We start from the raw sequence: 13,102 nt of genomic DNA on the forward strand, positions 1-13,102 counted from the left end.
TCATCAGAGAGCCCTTGTAATAAATATGCAAGAAAAACAAATTATTGACATTTCCTGGAAAGGTGAACATTAATTTTGTTATACAAATTTCATGACTGAATATTTAGTATTGATCTTTCCAGGCCAGAGTTTTTTTCAACTTTATTTTTATCTTCAAATTTTTACTTTCTTTAACATGTGTCTTCATGATATTGAAGCAGCGTCATTTGTCTGGGGTGATACAGAGGTTCGTTGTCTCATGGCCACAGAAAACTAGGACATGGACACGCGAAGAGTGAGGTTCAGAGCAGAAGTTTAATAGGCAAAAGAAAGAGAAGAGCTCTCTTCTGGGTTAAATGCAGCAGGTTTTATAGATGATCCTGAGGAGACAGTGTCTGATTTACATAGGGCACAAAAGATTGGTTGGACCAGGTATGTCATTTGCATAGGGCACAAAAAACTAATTAGGACTAGGTGTGCCATTTGCATATGGCGCAAAAAGCTGGCCACCCCCACCCTGATCTTTTATTATGCAGACGGATTTTCTACCTTGCCAGCGCCATGTTGCCTGTTTGTTTACTGTACACCTGGTGACAAAGAAAAGGGAAGATAGAGCCTCCATGTTGAACCTACCTGGCCCCCAGGTAGCTCTTTTCTATTGGCACAGCTGCTGGCATTCACCCATGCAAGCTTCCAGCTTGCTTATCTATGTCTGCAGCTCAATTTTTCAGGCTGCTCTTTGTTAGAAAAGAAATGATTTGGGGGCTGCTTTTTGTTAAAAAGGGAAACTGCACCAAGGACTCTTGCCCTTACTATCTGCCTAAACAGTTTATTTCTATCTCCTGTATCAATATTCCATGCTTCTCTGATAGAAAAAAGTATGTATGCATGTGAGTATGAGATGTTACCACTGTTCACTAACAGGACTGAAGATATTACCACTGTTCACTAACAGGAGTAAATTGATTTATATTCTAGTAAGAAACGCATATAACAAACCATCCCAGTCCCTTTTTGGGTATTTCTTGCCTAGGAGCCACTTTATGCCAAGAGAAGTGATTTATTGGCATTATAGTGTTAAATATTCCCCCATTCTGCTTAAGTGGCCGTATTTAAATGAAGTTTAAGTACTCCAGAACCTGTGGAAGCATTAGCAGTCAAGTGGGCCAGTGCTTTCTATTTTTCAGTGTGTGTATTTGGGTAGTAGATGGCATGCATTTGTACTTATGTGTGAGTCTTCCTGTGTATTCTAGTGTTCTCAAGGCATAACAAGGTACACATTTTATCAGGTTTACTTAATATTTTTGGCTGGTAGACCCCCTATTAAGGTGATTATTTTCATTTTAAAATTAATATAAATTTATTTTGGGAAATCCAAAAATATATCTTGTTTAAAAATATCACGAACATCTTTGCCTCTTTATAGTAATCCAAGTGTGTTTTAACTCACTTCTTTGTTTATTTGTTGTATTTATATATTTGCTTTTTATAGTGATTATGCAACTCCAAACCCTTCCTTTTCATTTATGAAAATGATATATATATATATATTTTTCCAAGAGCTAGCGTCTCTTATATAATATTTAATGGCATTATAAAAGCTCACCGAATGTATATACTATAATTACTTAGCCATGATTCTATCATAAACAGAGATTCTGTATCAGTCAGGGTTCTCCAGAGAAAGAGAACCAATATAGATATATAGAGAGATACAGATATAGAAACAGATTTATAAAGAGATTAATCATGAGGAATTTGCTTACTTGATTTTGGAGACTGAGAAGTCCCATGATCTGCCCTCTGCAAGCTGGTGACTGAGGAAAGCCAGTGAGTTAGTTCTAATCTGAGTCCAAAGGCCTGAGAACCAGGAGGCTGATGGTATAAGTTCTAATCCAAGTCCAATGTCTGAGAACTGGGGAGAAGATGGTATAAGTTTCAGCTCAAAGGCAGGAGAATATGGATGTTCTAGCCCATCCAGTCAGGGAGAGAGAGTGAATTCTCCATTTCTCTGCCTTTTTTCTTCTATTCAAGCCTTCAACAGATTGAATGCTTCCCACCCACGTTGGGAAGGGAGATCTTCTTTCCCCAGTCTATTGATTCAAATGCTCACCTCATCCAAAAACAGGTATTTGTTTAACCAAACATCTGTGCACCCCTTGACCCAATCAAGTTGACACATAACATTAATATCACAGGACACAATCCTACTGATTGTTCAGAATTATTCTGTCATCAGTATTTGTGCTTATTTTATCTTTTTGTTCATGTTTCAGAGTTTATAATTAATTTCTTATAATAGATTTCCAGATATGGAATTACCAGATCAAATTGCATAATTAACTTTAAATTTTCAGCTGGGCACAGTTGCTCTTGCCTGTAATCCCAGCACTTTGGAAGGCTGAGGCAGGAGGATCACTTAAGCCCAGAAGTCGGAAGACCAGCCTGGGCAACATAGGGATTCTCTGTTGCTACAGAAAACTTTCTAGAAATTAGCTGGGCGTAGTGGCACACACTTGTGGTCTCAACTACTTAGGAGGCTGAGATGGGTGAACTCATGAGCCTGGGAGGTTGAGGATGCAGTGAGTTGTGATTGTGCCATTGCACTCTAGCCTGGGCAACAGAGTCAGACCCTGTGTCAAAAGAAAAATCATAATTGTCTCAAATTATTTCTGGAATAATTTTATCATACTATATTTGACCACACATTTATTATTATGTACGATTTCATATGCTTAATTTTAATAGAATAAAAATTTATATTTCATTTTCCCCATGTGCTTATTAACGATTTATATGTTCTCTTTCTTTAAACATCAGATCATATTCCTTGGCCACTTATCTATTGGAATTATAGGATTTTTTGATTGATTTCTGAAGTCTTCATTTATTAATATTGTTACTATTAATAATATTGATATTTCATCTAATGTGACCTACTTAATTGTATTAACTTTGTATTCTTTTTGAACAAGGTTCTAACTTGATGTACCAAAAATCCATTTTTACTGTAATATACTTAAAATGATAACCATCTCATTATCTTGTGATTTAATGAATTATTATTTTTATTTCTCCCTGAATTCATGTTTGAATGTTTGCATCTCATATCTTATTTTGGAATAATATATGAGTTGAGTATATAAATTCATTATTTTCTAAATAGCAAACTGATTACCAAAACAGTTTTATTAAATAATCTGTCTCCTTCTCACTGGTTTGTGATACCTCTATGACTGTAGTAGTTCTCATGGAAGATAAGGTCTAATTCTTATAAATATGTTTTGTAGTGTTCATCGAGGTCTATCTAATTTTGTTAGTACCATGTTCACTTAAGTATTATAGTTTTATAACATTTGATGTCTATTATGTCTTGCTCCTCATTTTAATTTTTTGAAAACTAGCTCTCCTCATATGATTTAACATATGGAATTTGAAATTTTAATTTCCAGTTTTTCAAAAATTATTTCTTTTATTTATAATGAAATTACATTAAATAAATAAAATAATTTAGCATGAAGATATATTTAAATATACATCCCTCTTGCTTGAAGCATGGTGTATCTATCCAACTTCTTAAGTCTGCTTTAATTCTCTCTATATTTGGTAGTTTTCATTAAATATACACTAGACGTGTTTCATTGAGGTTACTTTTAGGTATTTTGTTACCACAAATGGGAATGCAATTATAGGCAAAGCAAGCAGAAACATACGGCTTTGATGAAAGCTCTAATCTCAACACTGTCCATATATATTTGACCACATCATTAGACCTATAAAAGTTTGCATTCAGGCAATACTCCAGATTTTATTTGATCTCATTTCTTGTTTTGAGCCATCTGGCAAGTATTCACAATTATTGATGGCAAGAATTTCTCAAACTGGATCAATAAAATGTCTTCCTTCCTAAATCCCAGTGGAATACACTGAGGACTGTGGGGAAGCTGATTTACTTAAAGATTCCGACAGTTCTGTAGAGGAAGTAAGAATGGAGGAACTAAAAGCTCTGTCACAGGCTCACTGTTCCATCTATACTTTCCCTTCCTCATCTCATTCTCACCCTGAGCACCAACCACCATATGATGTAGCTGCTGTCCAAATATAAATTTCTAGTCCAGGTCCTCTGATGAACCATAGCATAAATATATCTTCACTCAGACAAGCTCAATTTGTCCAAAACTGAACTCAAAATAATTTTGCTCAAGTAGGTTACTTCTGCATTCTATATGGGCAATGGCACTACTATCCCCCCAGCTGGTTATGCCTAAAAGAGACTATCTTAGTTTTTTGTTCCTTTTTATTTCCCCAAGAGTGTAGTCTCCACGTCTCCTTAACATCTCCTTAGTGCAGAACCTCCTCTGCATCCTATCTGCTACTGCCTTGGTTTAGGGCCCCGTTTTCCCTCTCCCAGGCCTGAGCAATAGTTTCCCCACACTTCCTCCTCTATAGTCAGCTACTCCCACCATCTATCCTTCCCACTTTAGACAAAGGGAACTTTCTAAGAAGCAAATCATTGTTGTTGACTTTTTCTCCCTTCCAAAATACTTCAATGGCTCATTATTAACTTAAGGAGAAAAAGTATTCTATTTACCTGGACAACTATATAATATCTTGCGTATTACTCATCCTGCTAAGTAACCCTTAGTTAAGTGAAAGCATTTGCATTGCTAAGGTAGTAACAGGAAACAGAGTGAAAGAAAATAGTCTGCCGAGCCTGGTGGCTCATGCCTGTAATCCCAGCACTTTGGGAGGCTGAGGCAGGTGGATCACAAGGTCAAGAGATCGAGACCATCCTGGCCAACATGGTGAAACCCCATCTCTACTGAAAATACAAAAATTAGCTGCAAGTGGTGCGGGCACTACTTGGGAAGCTGAGGCAGGAGAATAGTTTGAATCCAGGAGGCAGAGACTGCAGTGAGCCAAGATGGCGCCACTGCACTCCAGCCTGGCAACAGAACGAGATTCCATCTCAAACAAAACAAAACAAAACAAACAAATAAAATAGTCAATAATCAGGCATTGAACATTCAGCTAGGAAACCTGAGGGAATCAGCACAGTTTATACCAGAATCCAGCTCCCACTCCGGGAGAGATAAGAAGAAGACTACTACTGAGGCTTAGGACAGTGTAGAGGAATGAGGAAAAGCGACCTAAAATTTTCGTGTCTGGGAGAAGAGGGAATGAGCAGTGGCTGAGGGGAGCAGGAGGTCAGCATGGAGAGAAATAAGGAGACAGTTTTGGTGGCCAGCTCAGGGGCTGTGTGAAATCATTGAATGGGAGTCTCACCAATGGCAGAAGCCAAGCCAATGCCTGATTTTTGTGCTTACCTTCAAACTGCCTGTTCCTCTTCTTCCTGTCTTCAGTGGTTTTCCATCAACAGCATGCCATTTGTGGTTCATTCAGAAAAATGGCATTCTGGCCCCATGACTTTGCTTACTTTTTATACAGGCCACTTGGCATGGCCATTCTCCAGTCCCTTTTAATGGTCCAAAACATTTAGAAGACTAAGAAACAGAGAGTGAAGTGAAATTAAGTCCTGAAAGAGCCTTGTGTATCAGGGAAATCCTCAGCACTCCTACTTGGAGGGACGGCACTGCGATTAAAGCACTTCAGTGACATGTGCATACACTTAGCTCTCCAATGTGACCTGTTCCTGTGACCTCCCTTGCTTCAACCTAGTCACCTGTTCTAGTTACCCGTAGATACACCAGGTGGTGGGAAACTTTGACAACTTCACCAGCACTCTTCCTTCTACTGAGAAACTCCCTTCCCTATCCCACATAATTTTCCAGTGCACACGTTAATCTTGCAAGATCATATCTTTTTAAAAAGTGTCTGTCTCTTACCTTGTCATACACATGTAAATAAAAAGGTGCAACAAAGTTTTTGGGTATTGACCCTCCCCACCATTCCACCCACCCACCTCCACTCACCTGTGGCTCCAGCCTCCGGAGCTTATCCATCTCTCTATTACAACAAGTACTCCTTCAAGCAAATGTTGAATAAATGAATGAAAGGACAAACAAATAAATCTGTTCTGTCAATCCTTAACAGCCAGCTGAAGGCTTAAATCAGAGAACTTAAATTGCCCCTGAAATAATCACTGCAATCTGTACTACTCTTCAGACAATTCCCTATTTCTGTCAACCTACCCCTAACTCAATATTTAACTGATTTCTAACTTTGTGTCTCAACTACGTGATGCTTTCCAAAACTAGAATTACCTTGGCAGCTAGGTTTACAGACTTCAAAGAAACCTGATGCTGCTATGGATGGAAATAGGGGGCAAGCTGGTTTGTGTGGTGAGTGCCAAGGTTAAGTAAATAGACATAGTGGAGCCAAACATTCACCTGCATTTCAATATGATCAGATTTACACACACACACACACACACACACACACTCTTAAAGTTAGCGATTTATGCTATGAGAATGAGAATATTTTAGACTTGAGGAAACTCAAATTTAATAAAACCTGTAAGATGGCTGGCTATGACTTTATGTAAGCTGAATAAACATATCTTCATTCAGACTGATACTTCTGCCTTTCTTCTTTGAGTCTCTAATCATCCAAAGCCAACTTTTCAGTTCCTGAATGCTACAAATTATCTTCTATGAAAGTCATTGTTTTGTCTATGAAGCTTATCATAACTTCAGGGAATTTCACATTTGCATTTCTGATGGACTACAGTCTAAGGTGTTAGAAAATTGGTTTCAGCTTTCCCCACCTTTTTTTTTTTCCACTGTGAAGCAGCTCATTACAAAATAGACACATTTCTAAATCAAATACTCGAGTTATTATTGATGCATGTAGAGAATAGAGATGATTTGGTTAAGAAATGCCTAAAAGTTACCTTCTTGTTCCCATGATTTTCTAGTTGATTGAATGATTTATATGCTCAATTCCAAATTTAAATGTATGGTTTTTAATCATCATGATATAGTTAGTGGAAGGCTTTTAACCTTTACATTTAAGAAGCCCTTAGTACAACTCAAGCTTATTGACTTCTAAAGCTTAACATACAATATTTTTAAATGATTCAAGTCTATACATTTTATAGGTCTATAGTTTGAGCAATAGTAGAAGAATGTTTAAAGAGCCACTTGTTTTCCAATTACTGTATTCATGGCTCCAAGATAGGCATGAATCCCCACCCTAAAAACAAAACATGAAAAATTGGCATACTTTGAGTAGACTACCTCTGTAAAGTATTAAAATCTCCAAACCCAAAGCGACTCTAAGACTCAGTATAATTCATTTATTCGATGGCACTATAATGGGATTTCTTGCACAGTGAGAAGCAAGCAAATATTATCTTCTTTAAGTTCTTAAATGTTTTATTTAGTATCCCTAAATTAGGAAGGGAAACTAAACATTCACATAATCAAATATATAGGAGGGATCTGTATATTCTGTATTTTTTGAAGTTTTTTCTACTGGCAGATAGCATCTCATTTTGCTGTGACGGGCATTAAGACTGTGATTTTGAGATATGGTCAACCAAAACTTCATGCAACTAATTCCATGCAGATAGCACCTCATTTTGCTGTGACGGGCATTAAGACTGTGATTTTGAGATATGGTCAACCAAAACTTCATGCAACTAATTCCAGGGTTTATAGCAGAAAAGAAATTGTTGTGTACCTCTCATTACAACTCTTAACTATTTTTAAGGTAGCTTATATGGTTGACTTAGGGAAAAGGATGAAGATCCAGAAGAAAAATAGTGAGACTTCAGGTGATAGAGAAAAAGAGTTACAAAATGTTCTAAAAGGATAAAGCCCAAAGGCTGTAGAGCAACACAGTAATATTAAATCCTGGATTAAAGTGAAATGATTTAGGAGACTTTATAAGACATATCTGCAAAGCAATGCCTTTAGAAATATTTATTTAGTGAGCCTAATTATGTAAAATACTGAGAATTGGTGACAAAGTACAATATTGTCTCTTCAGATATATATTTAACAAAATTAGGGAGTTTTGAGTTCGAGCATTTATCATCCTACTAAAGCCTTTAGCACATAGTTAATTCCATGGCATGTATTATCCTGTCTTCCAGAGACAAGTACAATGGGATTAAGGAGGATGAATGGACTGTCTCACTTAGCCTGGGAGATTCAGGTGAAGTTTGTGCACAGACTTGAAAGAAATGCAGAATTTCCTAGGGTAGGCAGGAGATGGGGCTTGCGGTGAGGGAAGTAAATTTCAGAAAAAATATCATGTGCAAAAAAGGTACACTGGTATGAGACAGCATGGTGTCTTTAAAAACTGTAGAGCAGTATTCCGATAGCATTTAGTTTAACTCCATCATTATATTTTTAAGCTATTTTTTGTACTATACTTCTAAAACATGTTTCTATCCTAAGCGAACTTACACAAACACCATAACAAGGCAAAATTTGGTGCTAAAGTATAAGCCATAACACTACAAAGGCAACGCATACAGGAGATTTGATATGAGTGTTTTGTACATATTTCAATTATTAGCACAGGGTTAGATATAATTCATCACTCAAAACTGATTGTTTTACTTGTACAGAAGCCAGTATGACTGAAGCTCTCTTTTCAGTCAATTAATGTCCACTTGCCTGCCAGTTTTTACCATACATACCTGTGCCCTCCATGAAGCTAATTCCCCAACTGTTTAGGAAATTCAAATGGAACTCCTAAATAGTTCACACACAGCTTTTGTTAATAAATTACCCAACATATTTCAACCAGGTCAGGCTTCACAGCTATACATTTTTTAAAAAGTGTAAATTAACTCTTGACAAGGGAAATTCAAAACCATTCAAAGGCAAAGCCTGTGAATGAGACAAAGGATGAAAGGAAAATAGATGAAGTAATGCAATAGCCAGCTGAGGAGGAAAGGATGCCAAGTAGCTGTGACACAACAGCATGAAGCAAAGTGACTTCATTAATACTCTGCAAAGTACCAGAATGCTGCACAAGACAACACTTCGTTTCCAAACCAAACACAACCAGAGTTTACCACTATTGATTTTAAGTAGCAGCTGCCTAATTGCTAGAAAGCAGATACTTGAGCAGTTGTTGAGATATGCAAATGCAAATAAGCATTGTCACAAATATATCTGTATCACAGCGAGTATGGCTTTTGGTTTAGTTAGTTACACAATGACTGTGATATTTAGCCATCAGAGTAATTGAACTTTATAAAGTAATCAGCAGTAGCAAACAGGTATATAAATAGCAGTTACTTAGATGATAGTCAAATCACAATTAAAAAATATATAAAGAACTTTATTACTGTGCTTTTATTTCCTAATTTTAAAAACATTTTAATCTATTCCAACAATAATTTACTTTAAAATGATAATCTTTGTCACAAGAATGTTTATTCTATGAATATTTACTCAGCATCTTCCATGTTAAGTGTTTATGATGCAAAAAACAAAAATTTTCCTACAGTTATTTCTGTGTTGCTGACGTTAAAAGAATTCATAGAATAAACAGCTTAGGGAAAAATGATAAATGTGTAATCACACAACTCCTTAGCATCGTTAAATATGTATCTGAAGAGACCATATTATATTATTCAACTCCCTCAAATTTAACAATCTAAAATAGTGATATATTTTGGCTGGTGAAAATTTTAGACTTGACATTCTACTGTGGATTATCAATTTCAAAGAATTACATTGCCAAGAATATGCTACAAATAATGTTCATGTTATACTGAACCTAATCTAGTTTTGCCTCCACAAGTTCAGAAGATACTTCCAATCCTTTGTCAGCAAAAGCATCCATTTTAATTGAGCATTCTGTTCCATTTACTGTATATTTAAGTTGTTGTTATTACATAGCAGGAACTGTACTAGGAGAAGGAGACAGAAAGGTGGTGACATACTTTTCCTTTCATGGGGAAACAGTCTAATGGAGAGAAGGACAAGTAAGAAACCACAAAGTGTATTTTGGTAAGTGTTTTGAGAGGAGCTCTTGAGGCTCAAAGGAGGAGTTGTTGGTTGGGTCCCCTGAGAAAGCAGGCCTTGAAATAAGGACTTGAATAGAATTAGTTTATTTGGGAAATGATTACAGGGAACAGTAGTAGGGAGCGAGGAAGCAAGACAGGAAAGAGATAGAGTCAATTAAAGGTGCGTTGTCCAGCAAGTTCCCACCTGGCTGGCTGAAGCCTAATCCAACTGGGGAAGTTTGGGAAATGGTGTAAGACACAGTCTCAAATTTATCACACCTAAGGGAGAGGGATTTGGAGTATTTATAACTGCCAGCAGTCCTTGGTTGCAGTCTATTCAGAAAGGTATTAATTCTCTTACGCTTATGATTTGCAAAGGAAAAGAAAGTCCTCAGACCAAAACAATAACAGCAACAACCAAAAACTGTTTTCGTTTGGAAGGAGGACCAGAAGGAAGGAATAAGGGTCAGGCACTGACTCTACAGGTACTCACTGATCTCTTTGTTATGACTATGGAGTTTTCTTTACTTTATTCCCACATTTTTTCACTGCACTGGGACCTGCATTTTTTTTTTCTGTTTTGTCATTTGTCACGTTTGACTTTCTACTTTTCCTTAGTTAGATCGTGAGACCAATCACAGAAATTATTTATTTATACATTTTCAAAATGTCTTTTCCTCTCCTACCCTTCTTCATGCTATTTCAAAAATTACACCACTGGATACATTTAAATGTTCTTCCTGTTTTGCATCTAAACCCAGCAGTGAACTATCACTAGAGAAAAACACCTGACTTCAGTGAACACCTGGTCTCAGATAAATTCATGACCACAGACCTCAAGTAGGTGCTGAGCACAGCCCCGCCATCCTCTTGCTACCCCCATCCTCCACTCCCAAACTTGACTATTTCATAATGGCTCCATGGTCAAAGTTTGATAACCATGCCTCAGCTGATAGTCTTGCCTCCTATTTCACTGAGGAAATGGATGCTGTCATAAAACAAAATACTTCATTTTATCACTAACAATTCTACCTAATTATCATTATCTATGCCCATGAACTCCATTTTCCACCTGTTACAACTGATGAACTTTATTGCTACGGCCAAAACTTCCAATGATACACTGGATCTCATCCCTTTTTTTGTCAACTCAAGAACTTTATTCCTACAGTTATCCATCTTTCCTAAAACATATATCTCTATATTTGTAGGATTAGTTTCATCAGCATTTGAACATACTCTAGGAAGTACCACAGTAATGTGAGCTTTAGTAATTAAATACCAAACTAAATAGCATTTCTAAGCCTCAGTTACTTCATCTATCATAAAGAATAATAAAATCTACCTTTTTGGATTATTGTTAGCATTAAATAAAATGAAGCATAAAAAGCTCCCAAAATATATGACATTGGTTAATACTTTATTATTAATATTCTATTACATAGCTAAATATAACAAAGCTAAAATATTGTCTTCTCTCAAGCATATCTTGATTTGTACATTCATTCTGGAACAGATACTCAGACTCAAAGCTCACTGGAGAGCAGAATGAGTATTCCAAAAATGGCCATCATATGTCTGGACCCATATTCTCTTCTAGAACATTGCCCCTACTCCATCAAGAAGTTGAGTGTATGTACTTCTCTCTGAACCTGGGTAGGTCCTTATGACTTTTTGACTTTTTCAACTGATATGGTATGGCAGAAGCAAAGCTGTGTACATCTAAGGCTAGGCATTAAAAGGGGATAGTGCATCCACCTGGTGCTAGTGCTCTCTCGCTCTCTCTCTTTTCTCCCTCTCTCTGTCTCTTTCTCTCCTTCTCTTAAAATGATCACCCCTGGAAATGAGCCAAGTAACCCAGGCTACTTGGACCAGCCCATGTTGAAAGAACAGAAGTTCCCACTCTGTAGTCATGGCTATGCTTTACAGCTGACAGAGCACCACCTTGCCTGCTGTGTGAGTGAACCATCTTAGAAGCAGATCCTCCAGTGTTCAGATGACTCACATCATCTGGTGTTGTATAGATATGGCTTTTACATAATGACACAAACTCAATATTTTTAAAACATTTATTCATGGAGTAACACTGCCAACTTGGACTGTGAGAGCAGAGACACTAAAAAATGAAAAGGGGTCTTTAGACTCCAAATTTATACAAGCAGGAAGCAGACTGAGAAAACTACTTCATCAAACACATGTTACATATTATGGAAGAGGAAGGATAATTCAGAAGCAGAACCAAGAATTTAAAGACCAGACCCAAGAGCCATGGAGCTGACATGACAAAGTGCCACAGACTGGGTGACTTAAACAACAGAACTTGATTTTCTCACAGTTTTGGAGGCTAGAAGTCTGAAGTCGAAGTGTCAGAAGGGTTCGTTTTTCCTATGGCTTGACTTCTTGGCTTATAGATTGCTGTCTTCTCCTTACATCTTCCCAGTGGTCTTTCCTGTGTGTGTGTCTGTGCTTAATTTCTTCTTCTTAAAAGAATGCCAGTCATATTGGACAAGAGCTACCCATACAACCTCATTTTAATTAACTCTTTAAACATCCTACTCCTGATGAAGAGTAAACTGAGGCTCAATAAAACCTTAAAGAGTTTATTTGAGCAAGCAACAATTCATGAGTTCGGTAGCTCCAAACCAGAAGTGGTTCAAGAGCTCCAATGAGGAAATGCAAGGAGGAGGCTTTTATAGGATGAATACAGAGGGAAAGCAAAGAAAATATTTGATTGAGTACAATTATACAATTGCCTTCTTTGGCCTATCCCATTGGAAAGTCTCTAGTTTTACAATTATAAGTTTATCGGCTACTTCTGATTGGTTGAGCTTAAGCTCTGCTTTTCTTTAATACAGGCATTTACAAGAAGTAGCTCAAGTTAAGTTTCACTGATGTTTGCAAATCAAGCAAGGTTTAAGTCATTTATGAGGCCTCACTGGTTTCATCTTCTCAGAGATTTTTTAGGCCTTGTCTCCATTTTAAGGTATTTTAACACTCCAAATACAGTCATATTCTAAGGTACTTGGGATTGGGATTTCAGCATATAAATTTGTGGGGACACAATCCAACCCATAACACCACTGCTTTGGGATTTCTTCTTACATGGTAATAGATAATCCAAACATCCCCTGTTTCCTGATAATATCCTAAATTGTTTACACAGCACTTCTGGAAGTGTCCTTTCTCATTCAC

The 13,102-nt window shown here is 37.0% G+C and overlaps 1 annotated feature.

Annotated features, from left to right (window-relative positions):
• Positions 219-787: an enhancer, noted in NCBI's record as "OCT4-NANOG hESC enhancer chr7:76302620-76303188 (GRCh37/hg19 assembly coordinates)". NCBI's record gives its function as "activates a minimal SCP1, AML or CMV promoter by ChIP-STARR-seq in naive and primed H9 embryonic stem cells {active_cell/tissue: H9 hESC(naive and primed)}" and the evidence as "EXISTENCE:reporter gene assay evidence [ECO:0000049][PMID:30033119]".

This window comes from Homo sapiens, chromosome 7, assembly GCF_000001405.40.
Source record: "Homo sapiens chromosome 7, GRCh38.p14 Primary Assembly".
Lineage (NCBI taxonomy): Eukaryota > Metazoa > Chordata > Mammalia > Primates > Hominidae > Homo > Homo sapiens.